Below are 20,954 nucleotides of genomic sequence, written 5' to 3'. Positions count from 1 at the left end.
AACCGCCCCCACCCCCCAAAAGTAGTTCTGGCCATCCTACAGAAGGACGCACGTTTTGTTGTACAAGCTAAATACAGCCAGTCGACTCAGTCATCACCTCAGCTCATGTATCGTAATGTGCGATGAGCTGGAAGGATCCAGTGGACTCCAACTCAGGAGTTTGCAGTTTCACTGAAGAGAAAAGGGACAAGCCTGGGAACAGGTAAGCAGATTTGTGAGATTTTAACAAGAGTGGTGGGCAATACAGAGGCGATGTCACAAGGCAGTTGGTGAATCGTTGCCTGATGGACAATAACATCCCTTTCGATTTCTAATCTTACAGCTATATGATGAGCACTTCCACATCCCTTATTTCACTTATTTAAAACATCAGCCCAGTGATGTGGGTAGGCCAGGATTCAAGATCCCCTTTTCCTAGAAAGAGCTTAAGTAGAGCATGAACTGGAAGTTCAATTCCTGGGGTCCTGGGCCCATAAACTGGACTGAGCATAGAATGAGTGGCAATGAACAGAACTGAGTGGGAGGAATGCACTTAGGCTAGGCAGCAAGTGTAGAGGCACTGTCCACAGCAGGCAGCCTGGGTAGGAGGGACGTTCCCTGTGGGGTATTTCTCAACACAGTCCTGGGACCTCCTCCCTCAGAATCCCTTGACACAGATTGATAATGTAGATTCAACGGTTGAGGGTTGGGCCTAGGAGTCTCTATTTTAAGAGGCCCCCAGGCAACTCTGATGACCAACTATATTTGAACACTTGCCACAGAGTTCCCCTTTCCAGGTGGCATGGTTATCAGATCACCTGACTGGTGGGCACTAGAGATGGGACTGGCCCCCAGGCCTGGGCCAGTGCTCTAGCTAGTTTTCTGATCTTCCCTAAGGTGGGACTGATCCAGTTTTAGAAGGATATGTAAGATTTGGGGCCAGGTACGGTGGCTCATGCCTGTAGTCCTGGTACTTTGGAAGGCTGAGGCGGGAGGATCATTTGAGTCCAGGAGGATCACTTGAGTTCGAGGCTGCAGTAAGCTATGATCTCGCCTCTGTCCTCCAGCTTGGGTGACAGGGCGAGATCACATCTCTAAAAATAAATGAATACGATTTGGGCATGCAGAAAGATAAAGGATAAAGCATTGAAGGCACCAAGGAAAAAACAGGGGTGAATAGCTCAATTCCACCCTTTCCCGTGCTGCATCTCCGTGACTCAACAGCATTGTTATTACGTTAAAAACTAATAGTAAAGGGACAGCCAATGCTAACAAGGGTTTGGGGTAATAACCCCAACTCCAGGGATTGCCCAGTCTTGATTTTGTCTCCTGTTTCTTGGAGGTAAGGAAATGTCATTCTTGAACTGGGACATGGGCAAGGTCCGCTCCCACTCTGTCCCCAGAACTGAGAACTCACCTGATGTCAGACAGCAGAGCGCTGAGGGGGAAAACCTGCCTAGGACAGCAGGCTTCCAGGGTGCGCTGCCATTAGAGCCCCAGAGTGGGGCGGACAGGGCCTCATCCCACTTCATGCCAGCAGGTTCTGTGGACAAAGGTGGCAGGAAGAAAAGCCCCAGCCAGGCTGAGCAAGTAGGGAGTGTGTGTGTGTGTGTGTGTGTGTGTGTGTAAAGAGAGAGAAAGACCGTTTATTAATTTATTAATACAGATAATATTAATAGTATTAATATTAATATAGATATTATATATTAATATTTATTAATGTAGATAATAAACAGAGCCAGAGAGAATGAAAGAGGAGGTGGGGGTGGGGGGTCCACTCCTCTCCCCAACCAAACCAACCTGCGGTAAGGGCAGAGGGAGGAAAAGACACAGGGCACTGTCTGTGTGTGTGTTGAGTGGGGGGTCCCTCACATTTGAGATTTATCTTTTATTTCTCTGTGACTGAAGCTGAGCCACTTCCGATTTGTATCAGGAGGAAATGTGCTGCTTATGCATTCGTAATTAGACCCAGGTAATTCACTCTTTAATAATCAGCAGGCTTCTCCCACCAGCCCACTAAACCTCCCCCTCCTGCCTGCTCGTTTCTATTTTCATCCCTGTCCCCTCCCAGGTGGGGATCCCTTAAAGAGGCCCGGCTGGTTTGTTATCCTTTTCCTTTCTTTCCAAATGGTCCTACTGGGGCCCTCGCGGGCCGGCCTTTCCCTTCATTGTGATTCAGAGTGAGGTTCTGAACCAGGGCTCTAAGGAACCAGAGAAGCCGATTATGGGAAAGGGCATTGTTTGAGGAGCTCCGATGGCGAGCAAGCCCAGCCCACTCTCCCTCTGGCTCAGCAGAGCCCAGCCGGACCCTCCCACCGCGGGGAGGAGACCATCACCAGGAAGCCAAAAATGATGAGAGGGTTCTCTTCCTCCTGTCTCTCAAGTGGGCACAGGGAGGATAGAAAATTGTCCTTTGAGATGTTATTGCCGCTGTCATTGTGAATAAAGGCCTAGGGCTCCAGGACTCCCAACTGAGTACACTGCCTCGGTCCCCTCCAGCCCCCAGCCCACCTCTCATCCAGTGCCCAGGCCTCTGCAGAGGGGACTGAAGGGAGCAAGATGGATGAGGCACTTAAGGAATGAGGGCCCAGGAGACAGGGGAGAAAAATTAAAATGTAAATTACTTTTGCTGTTTTGTTTTATACTGTTTCTTTAAAAATATTATTCTCATTACAAAAGTAAACCATGGTCACTGGAGAAATTTCCAAAAACCTCAGCATTCAGAAAAGAAGAAAATGAAAATCACTCTTAATCCAGCCACCTAGAGATAATTACTAGGAGGTATTTGCTTGTGGTTCTCTTTACATATTTATATAAATCTTAATCCACAAACTCAAGTGGGTAAGAAATGAAAGATTACTAGTCAGTCTCTGTTAGGAGCCCCCTGTCCCTCATTCCTCAGAGGTGGTAGAAATCTCAGCTCAGTTCTGAGTCCCACAGTTCTGAGTCCCACACCCACTTTACTGACCCTGTGATAAATTCTGCAGGCTTAAAGCAGGCAATCATCCCACCCACAGCCCTCTCTGCCTTCACTGACGTCCACCAAACCTCTGTTGTCTATCTGCTTCCTAAACGTCAGTCCTGTGGGTCGCTGCTGCATGGAACCTCATTCCCATCAAAAAGACAGCCTCAGAACGCCTGCTTGCCTCTTTCATGCCCTTCTCAGAGCACTGACTCAGAAGCCCTTCTGTCTCCAAATCATTTTGGAGCTGGAGGCAGCTTGCTGTGGCCCCTCATCACTTCATGTACACTGAGGTGAACTTGCAGGCATGTATGAGGTGAGCTTGCAGGAATGATCTTAGGGCTTCTGCCTCCTTAGGGCTCCTTAAGAAAGGTATTTACCATCTCCCTCTGCACCCCAATCCCCCGAACTATCTGGTCTTCTGTCATCTCTCTCAAGGCAGAACACTCCTCTACCCCCTCTCAGAGACCTACTCACATCTAAGGTCTCCTTGTGTCCCCATGAACTCTCTTCTCCTCACCTCCTGCTCTACCCTGCCCCAAGATCAGGGATATTCTTTTCTAACTTCAGAGATGGGAAAATGTGCTCTTATGCAGGATTGCCATATAAAGTTGAGCAGTGTGTGCACTGCACAACAGGGAAGTTTAACATGCCCAGGGAAATGGCACCTTTTTATAATTTGCCCAAAGGTACCATGTGTGTGAGCCACAATGCTGCCCTTACTCATCATGTCTTGTTCCAAACCTATACCTGGGCCAAGATTTTGAAACTCAAAAGCCAATAATTTGACTCTTTTGTTAGCCGAGTTCTGCAATGTCCTCCCTTCCCTGAAGCAATTAATATTGAGCAGTCTGGCTGCTGTCTGGCTGCAAGGAAGGACCACAGGAGTCAGGAAATGCAGGGGGATGCCTTGGTTAATACTTGACAATAGCATGCCCAAATGTATATGCCCATTTGCAGCTCCAAATGCTAGGTTCAAATCTTTGGGGTTGGGGGGCAAAACTTGAATTTTTAAAAGCATGCCAAGTAATTCTGAAGGGGTTGGGAGAGAATTCCCATGAAAAGAAATCAAGACCAGTCCCTGGAGGACTGCTGTCCCCAGCCCTTCAGCTCCCATTGGGGAGCTGTGGGTGAGGCTGCTTTTCTCGCCTGGATGGGTGAATTCAAGGGTGGGAGGGCCAAGGCTGGATGGCGGCTTTTCATATCTTAAAATGCCCTGAGCAACCTCGAGTATCTTCTTGTTTTCCCTGTTTGGTTCCAGCTAAGATGTTGAGACCATCCACTTACTAGTGAAGCCCAGCACCACTTCTGGGAGGAGTGTCATCTTAAAGGCTTTCTCCAAGAAGGGGCCAGATGACTCCAAGCCATCCAGTCTACTTCTCCCATCCACAGGCAGCTCAAAAGCAGCCTCCTAGTGGGAGGGGGTGGGAGAAGCCCCTTCCCCAGCAGAACTGGGGTACAGAGTACCCCATATGCCTCCCCAAAGGAAGGCTTCAGGATGGAGACAACCTCATGTCTGACCTGGGAGCCTGAGAGGAGCATGTTGAATTTCTATTGCCTCAGCATAAAATGGCAATGCTAATGTAGTTTCCAATTTAGGTTTTAAAATGCCACTTTAAAGGACAGCTTCAGTTCTCTCACTTAAAACTTTTTAAAAATAATCACATTTCCTCATGAATCAGGACATGTGCATATTTGTCCCTTCTTCCCCATCAAGGACTCACAGAGCATAAGGCATCCTCTTCCACAGACTTTAGATGACCACTGTGCACCTCTTCTTTGGACAGGGGGCTTTCTCTGCCCCAACCCCACATCCATAGCCCCTTCTGCCTGGGTCCACTGAGCAACCAGTGACACTTCTGCCACACTGCGTGAGAGACTTGCTGCCCAGTGACAGAGGGGGAGGGAGGACTGGGAAAGAAATAAGAGCTGCCCAGGCAGCAGCCAAGGGCAACGTTTGAAGCAGGGGGTGCTTGGTTGTAGCGAGGGACTTATCCAGACAAGAGAATGGAGATCCCTCGTAGTTTTATCAAAAAGAAACCAGGTAGTTGGGTTTTCTTTTAGAACTTTGGGAGGAAAAGAAAACATAATTTCACACCCTGAAGAAATATGTGCCTGAATTTTGTAAACTTGGATTTTCTTCCTCTTCCTAATTAAGGGTAGAAGTCCTCCCTACCCTTTCAGTGCATGTGGGGGGCAGGGATGGGCATAAAGAGTGAACGTTGTCCAAAGGATGTCTCTCCTATCCCAGGCTCCCATTAATCTGGGAAGCAACCTCAGGATTTGTGCCCAGGAAGACAGAGCCCCTCATAGGAAAGAGCTTTCTCTAGAGAACTGGATTTGTAGGGTTGACCTGGTGTTTGGGGAGGGATGGGGTGAGTAGGAGGGGGTGCCTGTCTTTGCAGGGCCAGGAGTAATCCCCTGAGAGGGAAGTCAGGCTTCTAGCTGCCCACCTAGGTCCCCAGCTCAGGAGCAGAATCTACAGGCAAAGAGCTCAAGCCTGCATGACCTGTTGCCGGCTCTCCTAGCCCCAGTCCTTCATGGGCTGGCCCAAACTGCTGACTCCTAAGAATGCAGAGAGCTAAAGCCTACACCTCCTGCTGCCCGCTCTCCCAGCTTCAGCCCGCCGCAGGCTGGCCCAGACCGCTGACTCCTGAGGATGCAGAGAGAAGGCAGGTTCCCAGTCCTAGAGCTTATTGCTGACTCAGACCAAGTCTTTCTAGCTGGTCCTGCCCTCAGCCATGGGTAGGGGTTACAAGTCAACGGGGCCATTCCCTGACCTCCCAACCGGCCTGCTCCTGAACCCTAGGAAGGTAGATCCCAATGGCCCTTCCCTGTCCTTCCTTTGTGGCCAAAAGCCAATCTGGATAGTTTTGTTTTGTTTTGTTTCATATTTTGAATCTTTGTCAGATTTTTAAACTTTTCAATTCATTTTGATTCCATTTTTCATTCTAAATAAATATTCACTTTAAAACCTAATTATTTGCTCTTTCTCAGAGAGATCCCCCAAGATGTAAAAGTTCCAGATTCCAAAAAACCTAGAACCACCCTTAAGGATGGACCACGAGGTGAGTGAAAGGCAAGAGGCTGCTATAGTCTCAGTGTCCAGCAATGGGGCTCTGAGCCTGGGCAGTAGCCAGCCCTGTGGAAATATTGATGGCAAGGAGAGGGAGAAGGCCCAGCAGAGACGACAGCCCAGGACACACGTGGGCCTGACATTGCTGACCACAGACATGAAGCTCTAGCCACAAGGGGGGGGTCTGCTTGACACCCTGGGCTCCCACTTCAGCCCAGACTCAGAGGCCTAACCCCAAGAATGAGGTTCACTCATTCACTCTTACCCTGGGAAGACTGAATATGAAGCACACAGTTAAGACCAACAGTAATCAGGTGAGGACTGCCTGGGTCTCTTCCACTAAAGAGAGGGCAAAAAGGCAGGGTTAGTTGGGACCAAAGGCTGGGAGAGGGGGCTTCCTCGGAGGGCTGAGTCTTGCTGGGACTTCAACCCTGGCACCCGCCCCTTCCTCTAGGATCTGACAGCCTTTTGCAAAGGCTCACCAGCCCCAACCTCAGCAGAGGAAAGACGACTCCATGCTTGGCTAGCAAGGGCAACAGTGCCACCAGCTTCATATGTCCCACCTGGCAGGGGGCTCCTAACAGGTGAGGTTTGCTTAGGAATTCCTTACGGCCTGACTGAGACACTTTCAGCTTGAGGCTCTTCTTACCGAATCCTTTCTTCCCTCTCTCCTCTCAGGGGTCAGAGCAGTACTGTGACCTGAAGCTCTCCCTGCTGCCTCTTCTTCGTGCCCCTTTTTTACCCATCACAGCTATTTCCCCTAATACATCTTCTGCATGTGCTTCTTGGAGGACCTGAGATGACACTGAGCCAGACTGAATTTTTCTTCTTGCCATAATCAGAATAATTAAATAAGATTAAAAGACAGAAACTTTGTCGTTGTGTGATTCATGATGTTTAATGCTGTGCCCATGCACTACTTAAAGTAATATGGCATCCCACTTGAAGTATTCTTGCCAAATTTTAGAAAATGCAATCCTAGACAAAATCAAACTTTTTCTGATGGAGTTCTTTTGCCCTGGCCTCACTACCAAGTCCCAGACCTTTTCATGAAGCAGTCCTGCATCAGTGCCACAGATGAGTCGGGGCCTCTGAAGTGACTAAACACACCTGCTCCCTGCCTTGCTACCTGTCTCCATTTCTGGGACTAAGGCACTCTTTCTGGCTCCCAGTCTCTCCATAAGTATAACCACAAAGGCCAGGCACCCTATCCTGGAAGCCTAGGGACAGGGACGTGAGGATGTTAGCCAGACCACCAGGGGCCCCTGAGCCTGGCAACTGATCCCAAACAACAGTCCTGTTCCCAGTCTTTGGCCATATACTGGCTCTATCCCAGCTTTAGCCTCCTTGCCAGTACTTGGCCAGAGTGATGGCTCATCCCTTAGCATGCAGTGACCCCACCGTGACCCCATCCAACACACCTAGTTGAGCCCAGGCAGCAGGAGGAATGTGGTTTCACCACCATGCAAACCTCTGCCTTTCCCAGAGAAAGCAAGATGATTGGGTCCAGGGGGTGACTATCAGTCTATCAATCCCAGGATCCTGCAAGCCTTGGGTCGCCATAACCTGCTTGGCTTGAGGTTATACCACTAAAGGGACCTGGAGAGGCAGATGAGGTCACATGTCATTGGGACCATAGAAAAAAATGTTGAGGTGCTAACCAATGAGTGGTGAGACCTGATTCAAAAATAAATGGCACAACATTCACCAGCCTGGTGAATCTTGAAACTGACTCCATCCCATCATCTGATCTGACCAGAGACCAGCAAGCTGACAGGACCACGGGACAGAACTGGAGACACCCTTTCTGGGATAGGAGACAAAGCCCTTTCAGAGCTCTCTCCTTGCAGAATCATTTCTCCCTCACACCCCATCGTCTCTCCAGTTACCCCACTCCACTAACCAAACTGCAGCCATTTTGAAAGCCCTGGCAAGACCATTCTCCAAGCCTCCTACAGGTTATTCTCATTAGGAAAGCTGCTTCATTCCAGAGTCTGGGCTTGGGCTACTTGCTATTTACTTCTTAAAATGGTTATTGTAGGCTGGGCATGGTGGCTCACACCTGTAATCCTAGCACTTATAGAGGCGGAGGCAGGCGAATCACCTGAGGTCAGGAGTTCAAGACCAGCCTGACAAATATGGTGAAACCCCATCTCTACTAAAAATACAAAAAAATTAGCTGGGTATGGTGGCTGGTGCCTGTAATCCCGGCTACTTGGGAGGCTGAGGCAGGAGAATTGCTTTGAACCCGGGAGGCGAAGGTTGCAGTGAGCCGAGATCGTGCCACTGCACTCTAGCCTGGGCGACAGAGCGGGACTCCATCTCCAAAAAACAAAAAATGGTCATTCTAAAATGTAACCTTAAAGTCACCAACCACTATGGTTGCCAAAGTCATCTAAAACGAGCAAACAGAAAGCCACTAACAGGGGCAATGATTTAAAAAACAAACAAAACAGTTTTGCAAGCAAGGGCATCATCAGCATTCACAGAGGAAGTGGCCATCCCATTCTCCAGCAGACTAACACCCACACAGGGAAAACCCACACCAGCCAATCTTCAATTGTCTGAACTCCAATCTTCAGACAGCAATTTTTCACCTTTGATCTTCACCCCCAGCTTCTGCGTGACGCTGAGTAGTTTAATAATAATTCCCTTGGCGTGTGGAAGAAACAGAAATAGCTCCACCAGGCACCACAGGCCTGCGCAGCACAGTTTATGAAATCCTGGGGCTCTAATGCTCCCAGTCTCCTAAGTTTCCATTAAACAGCTGCCAAATGGCTCTCGCTGGCAGGAAAGGCACCCTTGCCTCGCCTCCCTTGGTTTCTCCGCAGACAGGTCAGGAGGGAAGAAACATGTGTCACTCAACAACTACGTAATGGGAAAGAGGTTGCCCTGAGGTCCCCCCCTGTGACCTCTGCCTGTCAAAGCCAACCTCTAAGCCCCTTTTTATAATCTTTTCCAAAGACTTAAATGTATGGGTACACAAAGCTCCCTTAATGGAAGGTCGCTCTGGCTTGTATAAAGAGCTGTGTAAACTTCATCTCTGCATTTACTCAGTACCAGCCTTGTTTAATTTCCTGCCCGGGGATGTGCAGGGAACGTGACTGCCCTCTCAGGGCCCTGAACATCTTTCAGAAAAGAAACAGTACCCTCCCTACTTCAGGGCCCCCCAAAAAGCAAGACACCTCCTCCAACTGTACTAAAAGGGAAGGCAGTTTGACCACATGCTCTCTGTTGAGTTTCTCTTTAGAAAAGGCAGCTTCAGACTGAGTGGACAAGCACAGACCACAGCTGGAGGGTCCCCTACACCATAACCAGCTATGTGATCTTGGCAAGTGACACCACTTCCTGGGGTTCTGGCTTTCTCCTTTAGAAAATGAGGGGATAGATGTGCCTATCACAGGTTGCTGTGCGGAGAAAGATGAATGCTAAGCCCCCGCCTAGTGCTCAGCTTGTGGTAAGAGGGCCAGGAATGGTAGCTACTAGAATCATTCTGCCATGGCAGAAGGTTCATTATAGTGGCTAAGTGCATGGACTCTGGAGCCCCACTTCCCACATCCGAGCTCCAGCTTCTTCATTCACAGGTGGGAGACCTTGCATGTGTCATTTCTATAAAATGCCGCATGGGAACAGCAGCAGCTGTGGGGAAGGAATGAGCAGTGTTGGGGACATCAGGTTCAAAGATTTCCCTGCCCACCACCACTACCATCCCTGTTTCACCACCATCCCCGTCCTGCCACTATGACCAGCGAAGCTGCAGAGACCTTCCATCCACACCAAACCCTTTGCAGACACCCTGCTCCACACCATTTCCTGGATAATCACAGCCTGTTTCCAGAGGAGGACCAGAAAACACTTATTTACCATTGCCCCTCATTTTATAGCCCAAAAGGCTGAGGCCTGCCCCAGATTCCACTTACAGCCTCCCAAATGAGCTGCCTTGTGTCAGTAAGCCCCCCTCCTGGGTTCATACCTGGGGTTATGGTGGACCTGAGAGAAAGTGGGGGAGGTAGGCCATGCCACTTCCCATATAGATCCCAGGAGGAAATTCCAGGCCAAATCCCAAACTGAGCTACCCAAGTCCCGCATTCATGCCTTCCCAGGACCCAGGAAGTTACTGACAGCAGGAGCGTCACCTCCATCCCAACCCCCTCCATCCAACTCATGAGCTGAGTCTCCCCCTGGCTGAAAGTCCTGGTGAGGAGGCCTGTTCTGGCTTCACATAATGTTCTCTAGCGTGCTGCTGGCCGAGAAAAATGCTGTCTGAAACAGGTCAGGTCTTCAGAGAAAGGGACTCCCCCCATCTCCTGAGTGGCCCACTGCCACTGCTGCTGCTATATCACTGATACATGGTGGCTGTCCTGTGCTAACACGGATAAGCCCTGGCCCCTCTCAGAGCCAACTCTGCCATCTGGAAAATGAGGCATTGATGGCAGCCATGTGGAGGGGCTCAGCATCCTGCACCCTGGAAGCAGACCAGGCAGCCCTCTAGGACCAAGGGGGGCTCTGTCTGGGATGGTGATTGGTAGATGGGGCAGTGCTGAATACTGTCAAGCCCTGCTAAAACCCCCACAGGTCCATCTATGGGACTAAGTGAAAAACACCCAAGAGGGCATTTTTGTACCTCATTTGGCAAACACTGTAGAGTCAGGACTTGGAACCACAGTTTCAACTTCGACAAAGAGCTCACGGAGGTGATTCTGCCGGGCTGAGCAGGGATTTGTGGGTATGAGCTCTGGCCAAGGTCTGCCTTGCACACCCTGATTGTTCTTGTTATGCTGGTGGCCAGGCATGAGGTGCAGTGGGAAGAGAGAATAACTAACTCATCTTTCTACTGGCTCTCTCAGCCAATGTCACCAAGCTCTCCCCATGTATTGCACCCCTGAATGGGAGATGAGGAAAAGAGGAGAAAGACATGGATGTGAACTTGGTTGACCCTTTGAGGGTCTCTGACAAATGAGCAGACAACAGGGCTGGGACTAGGGTGAGGGGTGAGGCATCTAGGGGCAAAACTGAAGGAGACACCTACTCCCAACCCTGCACTTGCAGACTCTGAGAGCGAGTGTCTCATTCAGTATTGTGCTCTAGACTTCTCACCCACCTCCCCCTAATTCTGGCCCTGAAAGAAAATGACAGGCCAGAGGTGAGGGGTGGGTGCTTGTTGAGAAGTGCAGGGGCTGTGGTGGTCCAGGGTGGTTGTTCCCACTCTAGTCTGGGGGTCCTGGAAGACTTTGCAGAGGAAGTGAGCAGTTCAGACTCCTGGGAAAGGAGACACCTCCCCACTCAATCCAACTGATTGCACACCTCTGTCCTGGCCACCTCGCCTTTCCAGACCTGCCAAGGGCAGGGGGGCAACTGCCAGCGCCATGTCCTCCTTTTGCCCCTCTGTGCCCAGGCAGAATAGGCAAAAGGGAGCTGAACATTCTTGCACACGGTGCGGGATGCACACAGACCGGCAGGACGCAGCCGGAGAGGACACGGGGCCCACAGAATCAGTCCTGGCTTGAACATGCTTGTCTGGGAGCGCGTCTGCACACCCTTGGAGGTGGTGTGCCCGGCCTGCGCTACCCAGCAGCCAGTGGGCACTCGGAACAAACCAGGCCATGCCTGGAGGGAGCCTGTCAAGGAGGATAATGAACGCAGGTGTGCACGCTCAGCTGAGCTTTGTCTCTGAGTTGGTTTGCTTACCTCAACGGTTTGTCCCTGTTTGGCGTGTGGCTCTGTTCATAGGTCTGTAACTGTGTCTTTGCCCGTCAGTCTTCCTGTGACCCTGTGCTTTTCTCTCTTTCTCTCTCTCTCTCTGTCCCTGTCTCTGTCCCTCTGTCCCTGAGTGATGTGAGGCCGGGCTGGGGGCAGTCGCAGCCGCGTCCTCTCTTGCCCTCATTGGTTCGCAGCCGCTCCCCCGGGCAGCCGCCGCCAGTCCCGCCCCTCCCCCGAACCCCCGCCCGGGACACGAGCGCGCTCAGAGCCGCCAGAAAGCTCAGTCTCCTGCTCAAAACAGGAGCGCAGCAGCCGGAGGGAGTGGGGACAAGCTCGCTGAACACTGGGCGTCTCGACAGGGACCAGAGCCTGCAGGACTGTTCCGAGACGCTGCGGTGGCGGCGGCGCCGGAGGACGCGGAGGACTCCCTGGCCACCCGCCCTCCGTGCGCTCTGCCACCGGGCGCTCAGCAGAGACCCCGGGCTGCGGCTGCACTTGCTGAGTGCCTCTCCCCGCCGCCGCAGCCCAGAGGCGCCCAGCACCTGGAGCTCACTGGAGCTGAGGGTCCGAGCTGAGCGGGCTGTTGTAAAGCCGAAAGGCGAGTCAGTGACTGGGACCTCTGTCCTGGTGGCGACGGAGAGAAACAGTGAGCCCGAGGGGCGCGGGCACAGAACTGTCCAGCTCCGAGAACTGGGGTCCGCCAGCCGGCGGGGAAAGCAGCTGAGCGCGGAGGCGAGTGAGCGGACGCGTCCCGGGGTCTTTGCAGTCCCCGCCGGCCCCAAGGCACCGACTCTCGGTCAGTTGGGCGCGGCAGGGCGGGAGGGGCGCGCCATGGAGGCGCCGGGTCGCGCCAGTATGCTCCAGGCCAAGTGAAGCGGTCCGGCTGGGGTCGGCGGGACCCGCGGGCCATGTACGGCGACATATTCAACGCCACGGGCGGCCCCGAGGCGGCGGTAGGCAGCGCGCTGGCCCCAGGAGCCACGGTCAAGGCAGAAGGCGCTTTGCCGCTGGAGCTGGCCACTGCGCGCGGTATGAGGGACGGCGCGGCCACAAAGCCCGACCTGCCCACCTACCTGCTGCTCTTCTTCCTGCTGCTGCTCTCGGTGGCGCTCGTCGTCCTCTTCATCGGTTGCCAGCTGCGCCATTCGGCCTTCGCCGCGCTGCCCCACGACCGCTCGCTGCGCGACGCCCGCGCGCCCTGGAAGACGCGGCCGGTGTAGCTTGGGACTGAGCCACGGCCGCCGGGCGCCCCGTCCCGACCTAGCCAAGAGCAGCCAGCTTGAGCCTGGTAGGGAGGGCACGACACCGGGGATCGCTGGCCCCTGGGAACACGGTGCCCTGACCCAAAGACCCTTCCTGAACTAGAGTGGCAACCCGAGAGGAAAGGGAGACCGAGGCGTCGGGAGCCTGTGTAGGGTCTCGATCCCAGTACCTGTAGGTACCGTGATTCTGATCCCCTGGCCAAATCTTTCTTCCTCTGGACAGAGGGTCCAGTCGGGAAACCTTCCCGAAAGACGGCGGTCGGGTCGGGAAACCTTCCTGAAAGACGGCGCGCCAGCCCGTCTTGCTTGCTCGCCGCCTGCTGACTTCCTTACTTTGCACACGGAAGGGGCAGGAACCGCAAGCGTGCAACTAGCCTGGAGCTACCCGTCTGGACTCGCAGGCCCTGTGGCTGTTTCCCACAGCTGCTACGGCCTCTCTTGCTCCTTGACACCGAGGAGGACCCCACTAGGATCCGAGCGTCGTGAACTCACCTGAACTTTGGAAGGTTGGCACTGGGGGGCCGCATCCCCCTGGGAAATGACTGAACGCGGGGTTTCAGTGGGTCCCGCCTGGGTCTAAGGACCCAGTTTCTTCTGTGAGCACGGGCAGTGGGAGGCCGGTGGAAAGGCGCAGGGGCCCACCTACGCGTCTCACATCTTCAGGGGCGCATTTCTACAATAAAAACTCACCCAATTAGACCTAGCGCTGAGAACGTGCTGGTAATTGTTTGCGCCGCTTTGGAAAAGGGGATAAGGGTAGATCGATCCCGAGCAGGAGACCCAAGCGAGAGACACCTCCCCGCCCAGGACATTTTGATGATACTACCTCCTCTTCGGCTTTTTCCCAGGGTCGGTCAATTACTTCCTTGGGGAAGTTTTTTTTTCAGGATGGTCTCCAGGGAAAATTGCTGCCTGACCTGCTGAATAAATTCCCATTAACAGGGCTCCTGGGGACCCTTTCTGCAGGGCAGTTCCTTCCACCTGGCATCTTCCCTTTTGCTCTGAGCTTTCCTGGGCCTGAAGCCCCTGAAGAGCCCTATCTGGACCAGAACCGTCTGGTGAAGGAAGAGCCTGAAGATCAGGTGGTGGGGCAGCTGCCCAGCACTTCCTCCCAAAGGAGATGGGGGCCTGCCCTGGAGAACCTGGCAGGAGGGAAATGGATGCATAAACCCAGTTAAGGGGAAATCAACTTCAAAGAACTTGAGAGGGACTAGGAAGGCTTGTAATAACCTTAACCAAAGTTAACCCAATTCTAGGGAGTCTTTTTACGGGGCTTTAAAATAGTTTCAGGAGTCACCTGGCTCAATGGAGCACTAGAGCTTAGAGAAGGTTTGACTGAAAAAGAATTTGACAGACTGTCTAATCCAGTCATTCTAACACATGCTAGGGTCACTTGGGCTTTTGGCAATCTTTAGAAAACTAAGGACTCTTGGCCCTGGCCAAATGCATACAGGCACAAAATTCTGCAACAATTCTATGAGTTCTGACACTGAAACTGGTTCCTGAGACCAGACTGAGGTTGAGGAAGAGAGACTGGCCAGGGCTCCTGAGGCCCAGCCCAGCCCAGCCCAGCCCACCACTTCTCCTCAGTCAGTATCCAAGATTCCCTCCTGGCTTCTATCCCAGGAAGCACTGGAGACGAAGCATAGAAACCAGAAAAGCCTCCCTGGGCTTGATTCTTCACGCCTTCCAGAACTAATACCCACCAGGTCCTAACGATGCCAATTCTATGATCACCTCACACAGCATTTCAGTTTAGTCTTCAGAAAGGTAGCCAAACCTCTGCAGCCTATAATAAAGGTAACCCAAGCTAATCTGCATGAACCTTGGACTAGACGGAAATAAATGTGAGAAATATGAGGGCCCCTGGCTAGCATACAAAATCACATGCTGCTGAAATGGGGGACCCTTCAGCCTTGGTCTGAGGGCTTCTGAGGGGGTAGGGGGACCCTTCAGCCTTGGTCTGAGGGCTTGTGACAGGTAGGAGACTAATGTAGAGGCAGAGTATCTCTCCACCACATGTCCTGATGGCCAGATCTGAAGGTAGTATGCAGAGTGGTCAAACGTACAAGCTCTGGAGTTCAAATGCCTGGCTTTAAATCCCAGCTCCACCTCTCACTAGCTGTATGGCCTTGTGCAAATAACCTATCTGAGCCTATTTCCTCATCTGCAAAATGGGCATTATATCAACTAGCTCTACAAGTTTGAATAATAGAGTATAACCAAAGTTATTATAACCAATAACAACATGCTAGCAATAATGCTTGCAGAAAATGAGCGTCCAAACTATAGCTATTTGTAAAACTGAGCTATAGGCGTGAAGCAGCACTGCTGCTGCGAGGAGACCCCACCAACAGGATGTGCTCTCACTACGGCCCACTGTCTCCTGTGACCACAAACAAATGCAAGGACTGGTTCCTTCATGGGAGAACATGAGTAGATGACTGGCTTAGGATTCACCTGTAGTTCCTGGGCCAGAATCAGCTCAAGCCAGAGTAATCCAGGAGGCTTTTGGGCTCTCTCTGATGTCTCTACAGGGTTGCAGTGGCCTCAGCCACTTAAGCCAAAGGCTTGGCCACTTCAAATGAATAGACACTTTGGGAATAAGTTTCTGGGTAATTGAGCCTGCATAGACCTGGAATCTAGAAAGCACACAGGGTCAGTAAAGGTATTATCTGCCAGCACTGTGAACCCGAGTAACTTGGTTCTCTTTTCTAGGATAGTATTAGACTGAGGGGTAATGGGTTCTTCCTCATGTTGAACCCAGCCCCAGACTCTCTTCTGGGAAGCAGGGATGTGGCTGAATTCAGATCTGTCCTCTACAATATTTAGAATAAGTGGACTACAACATGGTGATTGGATATTTAGGTGGTGTTAAAATTGAATGCATATGTCTTCCCAAAATTCATATGTTGAAGCCCTAACCCCCAGAGTGGCTGTATTTAGAGTAAGAAAGTAAAGTTATATGAAATCATAAGGGTGGAGCCCTGTTCTGATAGGATTAGTGTCCTTGTGGGACCACAGATTGCTCTCAACTCTGGCCAGGCGCAGGCACGGAGAAAAGGCCATGTGAGGACACGGTGAGAAGATGGTTATCTGCAAACTAGGAAGAGGGCCCTCACTAGAAACCGACTCAGCCGGAACTCGAATCTTGGAGGACTTCTAGCTTACGGAACTGTGAGAAAATAAATTTCTGTTTAAGCCACCCAGTCTATGGAAGCAGCCCAAACTAAGAGAGATGACTGTCTGGGTGTAGACCTGTGCATACACATCCTCCTGCCCTTTGCCCTCCCACCAGTTCCAAGATGTCTTGAAACCACCTTTGGAGAGCAGGGCATGGCAGGCTAAAAACAGGAATAGGGCCCATGTCACAGGTGTTTGGGTTCCTCTGCTATAACCAGCCACAGTGAGCAGCCAGAAGGGTTGAGGTTAACGCATTTTTGTTGGTGGGGGTTGGGGGAGAGGCTGGAGATCACGGTGGGGAGGTAGCTGCAGATGCTAGGAGTCAAGGAGAGGTAGCATAGTGGTGACCAAGAGTCTGAGTTCTGGAGCCAATGACCTGAGCTTGATCATCCACTCCATGCCTTCATCGTTATTTCTGTATTTCTGATAGCCCGTTTCATCATCTGTAGAATAGAGATGACAATACCTTCTTCAAAGGATTTTCAATATGGAGTGAAACATTATCAGTAAAGTGTTCAGCTCATGTTTGCTATGTAGTAAATGCCCTGAATGTGAGCTATCATTATTAACCAGGATGGCCATTTCAGAAGTGCATGCAGTGGTACAAACTACTTTTTGTCAGTGACCTGTCCTTTTTCAGCCATGTGCTATCAGGAAACAGTAAAGAGGTCTGTACTTCCCAACAGGTATGCCCAGAGTTGGAGGACAGCTATTCTGGGTCTTTTCTCACTTTGCACCTTCCCCCTAAACTATCTCATTCGCTCTCATGGCTTCAGTTGCTTTTCAGATGACTCTCTCCACACTATCCCTGAGCCCACTCAACACCTCCATTTGGGTATCTCATGGGAAACTTCGAACTCAACAAGCCTAAAACTCATCTGTCTAAATTAGATCCTCCTTCAGTCTTCATCTGAATAGACTGCACCAGCGTATGGCTGCCCAAAGTAAAAAATGCATGGTGGTCATTCTTGACCCTAAACTCTTCCTCATCCTTCAATATGTAACTCATCACCCCCTAGGCACCACTCTACTCCATCTACTCCTGTCTATGTCCACCATCACAACCCTAACTCAAAGCCCTACTTCCATTTTTGTCTCTCCTCACTCAATAAACACATCTGCCGCCAGCCCCAGCATATACACCAATGGCTTCTCTTTGCTCTCAGGATTAAACACAAAAGCCTAATAAGGACCAGAATCAACTGGTCCCACCAGCCTCATCTTCTCTCACTCCTCTTACACTCCAGTGGCCTTTCAATCCCTACCTCTGCCTAAGCTGTTTGTTTCTCCTCCTTCCTCTGGCTGATGCCTTCTCATCCTTCAGGTCTCCAGTTAAATGTTTCTTCCTCAAAAAGGACTTGCCTAAATCCTCAGGTAAGATTAATCCTCTCATGACCCCATATTGCCTCCCCAATCACAGCTACTAAATAACTGCATAATTAGTAGCCCAATGCTTCTTCCCACTAGTAACATGTAAGTTGTATGAACAGAGAACAGGGACAACATGTGTCCTGTTCACTGCTGTTTCCCAATGCCTAGCATAGTTTTAAACAGAAAATAGGCAATAAATATTTATTGAATGAAATACAGAGGGAAAACAGAGCTAAAGTAAATTTAAAAGGTGTATTTACATCGGAGCACATATCCTTTGATTTTCCACCTTAAACTAACCTTGTATCAGGTGAAATATTGAGTTGAACACTCCTTTATTGATTGGTCTTCCAAGTGGCTGGTTTCCTAGCGGTGGTAATCCAAAGTTCTTAGCAACTAACGTTTCCCGTCTCCACCTGTGTAACACTTCAGTTATTACTATATCTCCTGCAGAGACTAAAGAACAAGCAATTTAATAGAAGTTTGTACCTTTAGCTATTTCTGCTTGAATTATTCATTTTCTGCAGAAAAGCACAGATCATTGCAGTAACATTCACATGCCTTCTGAATTGCCTTGAATAAGAACTGGTTAAATCACTGCTTCACGTAACAACTTCCTCATCTTCCTGGACTTCGATCAAAGATTATTTACTCAGTGAAACCTTCCCTGGCTACTATATCTAAAATTATAATTCCACCTTGTTCCCCAACCCTGGTATATTCCTTTCCTGCTTTATTTTTTTCTCTTTGGAACTTACTAGTAAACACACCATATATTTTATTTACCTTGTTTGCTGTCTTCATTAACCAGAATGAAGATCCTTAAGGGAAAGAATTTTTGTTTTAACCACTCTTATTCCTCAGCCTGACATCTAACAAGCCCTCAAATATTAGTCAAATGAATGAACAAGCTCATACGGCTCAGGGCCAGAAAAAATAAAAATATTCAGAAACACAGAAGTAGAGTCTATAGTTTAAAATAACCCTCATTTGTGGGTCCTGCTTCTCCACCCTCCAAAACTGATTAACCTAATGAACTCGGAACTACTCTGTTACAGCTTCACTTTCCATGAGGACAAGAACAATGATTCCAGCCCTACTGCCCTGCCTACCATAAAGTTGGACCTGTGTTAATCACTCAATTGGCAAGTAAGTATTAATTAGGTTACAGTCCAAACTGCTATAACAAAGCCATCCGCCACGCAAGTTTCTTTCTCACAGTACTCTTTCAGGTGTAGCACAGTACTCTTTCAGGGGTAGCACAACTGTCATCCTCATCCCTCGGCTTCCATGTCCACTTCAAGGTATCTATGCTAGATCCTGCCTTCATATCTGCATTCCAGCCACTGAGAAGGGGAAAAGAGCAAGGGGTGCATTCCTCTTCCAGATATAATGCAGAAGTGGTGCCTATCACTTCTGCTAATATCCTACTGGCCAAGCTTAGTCACATGACCATACCTAGCTGAAAAAAAGCTAGGAAACGTGGTATCCAGCTGGACACAGGTGTTCTGCAATGAAAGGGCAAATGGGCATTGGTAAGCTTACAGCAGGTTATTAAACAGACAATAAAAGGAAAGGACCTTCTTTTCATATGAACATCATCTCTCCAGCCTTACTAGTTACACATTACTAGTTTGTGCCTGCATTCTTCACCTTCACTGAATTCACTAACTTGGTCTAAACAATTCTAAGTTAATGAAAACCACATTTCACAAAATTTTATGTAAACAAAAGGCAATTAGGGAAAGTTTACTGTTAATTACACTTCTGAACTAATGTTGGCAAAACTATAAAGTGGACAAAATCTAAAAAACCCTCTAGACCCTGTTGTTTCTTCTTCCTGAACTTCTCCCCCTACATCACCCACACACACTCTTCAGCAAAATTAATCTTTTATTCTGAAGCACAAATATGGTTCATGTATTTGTTTTATCATACGTTCTCTCTCTCAAAGGTATTCCTTGCTCCCACTCCCACCTGAGTGCAATGAAAGGCTTGCCCCTTATGTACAACAGTTAGGGAAGGATATTATGGGGTCTAAACCAGGGCACTAAAATCACACTACAAAATTTGTAACACCCCAGCTTCTGTAAGCTGTGTAATTAAAAGTACACTTTTTGGGGTTATTTTCTCTTGTCAAGCGTATCAAGGAAACTATGCCCTTCCTACTTTCTTTGGGAAAATATTAAATGTTAACAGGTTAAAGCTCTAACTTGACTATTAATTTTGCAGGTTCTACAAGCAACAATTCCAAGAATTTGATAACTTTGGAGCAAAAGTCCAAAAGTTCAAAGAGAAAGGATATGAGTGCTTTCTTAGCTGAATTTCCCCTTCTTCTCAATTATACTTTAGCCAGCTCCCACAATACCCCACCCCACATCAAACCACTTCTCAGGCATAAAGAGAGCTAATAAAACATTGAGCTAGAAGCAATTCAACTAAGAAGTAAATATTACATTATTTAAAAGGTAAATTCTAATACTTAAAAAATTCACTTCTTGCTTCAGTACTCTCATTCATTCAACAAATATTGGTATGCTTACTTATAACATATCAAGAACTGTTCTAGCAGTGGCAACACAGGTCTGTCCTCACAGATCTTACATTCCCATGAGGTAAGACAGTCAATAAACAGGGTAAAGAAATATATATGTTGGATGGTGATAAACGCTATGCAGAATGAAAGGCTTTCTTAGGTACAAAGAACTCAAGAAACACTTTAGAACCAAACCAATTTCTCTGAGAACCCTTTCAAAAAGAGCTAGAGCTCCATCTATAATCAGCAAAGTATCTGTCAAAGAAAGCCAAGGATCAATGTACAGTGACTACCAGAACAGGTTAGAAGGGCACACTCATAAACCTTTGCTACTGGTTTGGGGGTTTCAGTTTTAACTTTTCTGTTAAAATTCTCAGCATTTATCTCAAATGAAAGTATTATTTAAAATGAAATAATGAAGGAGGTTTATTAGATGGGAAGGGGTAACTGATTAAGACAAAGTATAAGGATCTTTTCAAAATCCATCTCTAAACATCAATAAACTGCCTCAGAAAATCTCTCACTAGGAATTATACACACACCCATTTGATATAATATGGATAAGTCTTCACCACCAGTCTAAATCCCTCTTCCCACCTCCCATCCAACATACGTTAACATGGAGATGGTTAAGCAAGCTGCCCATAGCTCTTCTTTGAATTTTCCCTATAGCCCCATTACCCTTTTTTTAAACAGAAAAACTGATTTAGATAGAAAGAACAAGTTTTGTTTTTGCAAAGCTTATGATAGACTTACAAACTCAATGACAAAAATCAGTAATATTTAAAATGTTAAATGGGAAGGGTGTTTTAAAAATGCTTCCTTCTTTCAATCATAAATACTACAGAGCTCTAAATAAATCTTCCTTATAAGCATTGCTGCAGT

The 20,954-nt window shown here is 49.1% G+C and overlaps 1 protein-coding gene across 1 annotated transcript, besides 4 other annotated features; it reads left to right on the top strand.

Moving 5' to 3' along the window:
* Positions 950-1,907: an enhancer, noted in NCBI's record as "OCT4-NANOG-H3K4me1 hESC enhancer chr5:135538931-135539888 (GRCh37/hg19 assembly coordinates)". NCBI's record gives its function as "activates a minimal SCP1, AML or CMV promoter by ChIP-STARR-seq in naive H9 embryonic stem cells {active_cell/tissue: H9 hESC(naive)}" and the evidence as "EXISTENCE:reporter gene assay evidence [ECO:0000049][PMID:30033119]".
* Positions 1,908-2,865: an enhancer, noted in NCBI's record as "OCT4-NANOG-H3K4me1 hESC enhancer chr5:135537973-135538930 (GRCh37/hg19 assembly coordinates)". NCBI's record gives its function as "activates a minimal SCP1, AML or CMV promoter by ChIP-STARR-seq in naive H9 embryonic stem cells {active_cell/tissue: H9 hESC(naive)}" and the evidence as "EXISTENCE:reporter gene assay evidence [ECO:0000049][PMID:30033119]".
* Positions 11,517-12,034: an enhancer, noted in NCBI's record as "H3K4me1 hESC enhancer chr5:135528804-135529321 (GRCh37/hg19 assembly coordinates)". NCBI's record gives its function as "activates a minimal SCP1, AML or CMV promoter by ChIP-STARR-seq in primed H9 embryonic stem cells {active_cell/tissue: H9 hESC(primed)}" and the evidence as "EXISTENCE:reporter gene assay evidence [ECO:0000049][PMID:30033119]".
* SMIM32 (small integral membrane protein 32) lies at positions 11,988-13,682 on the top strand. Its single transcript, NM_001350994.2, has one exon. It carries the CDS (start codon positions 12,626-12,628, stop codon positions 12,935-12,937), a length of 312 nt encoding a protein of 103 aa, NP_001337923.1. The 5' UTR covers positions 11,988-12,625; the 3' UTR covers positions 12,938-13,682.
* Positions 12,191-13,105: an enhancer, noted in NCBI's record as "H3K27ac-H3K4me1 hESC enhancer chr5:135527733-135528647 (GRCh37/hg19 assembly coordinates)". NCBI's record gives its function as "activates a minimal SCP1, AML or CMV promoter by ChIP-STARR-seq in naive H9 embryonic stem cells {active_cell/tissue: H9 hESC(naive)}" and the evidence as "EXISTENCE:reporter gene assay evidence [ECO:0000049][PMID:30033119]".

This window comes from Homo sapiens, chromosome 5, assembly GCF_000001405.40.
Source record: "Homo sapiens chromosome 5, GRCh38.p14 Primary Assembly".
Lineage (NCBI taxonomy): Eukaryota > Metazoa > Chordata > Mammalia > Primates > Hominidae > Homo > Homo sapiens.
The sequence above is the reverse complement of the archived record's forward strand: the minus strand, read 5'-3'. Positions and strand labels throughout refer to the sequence as shown.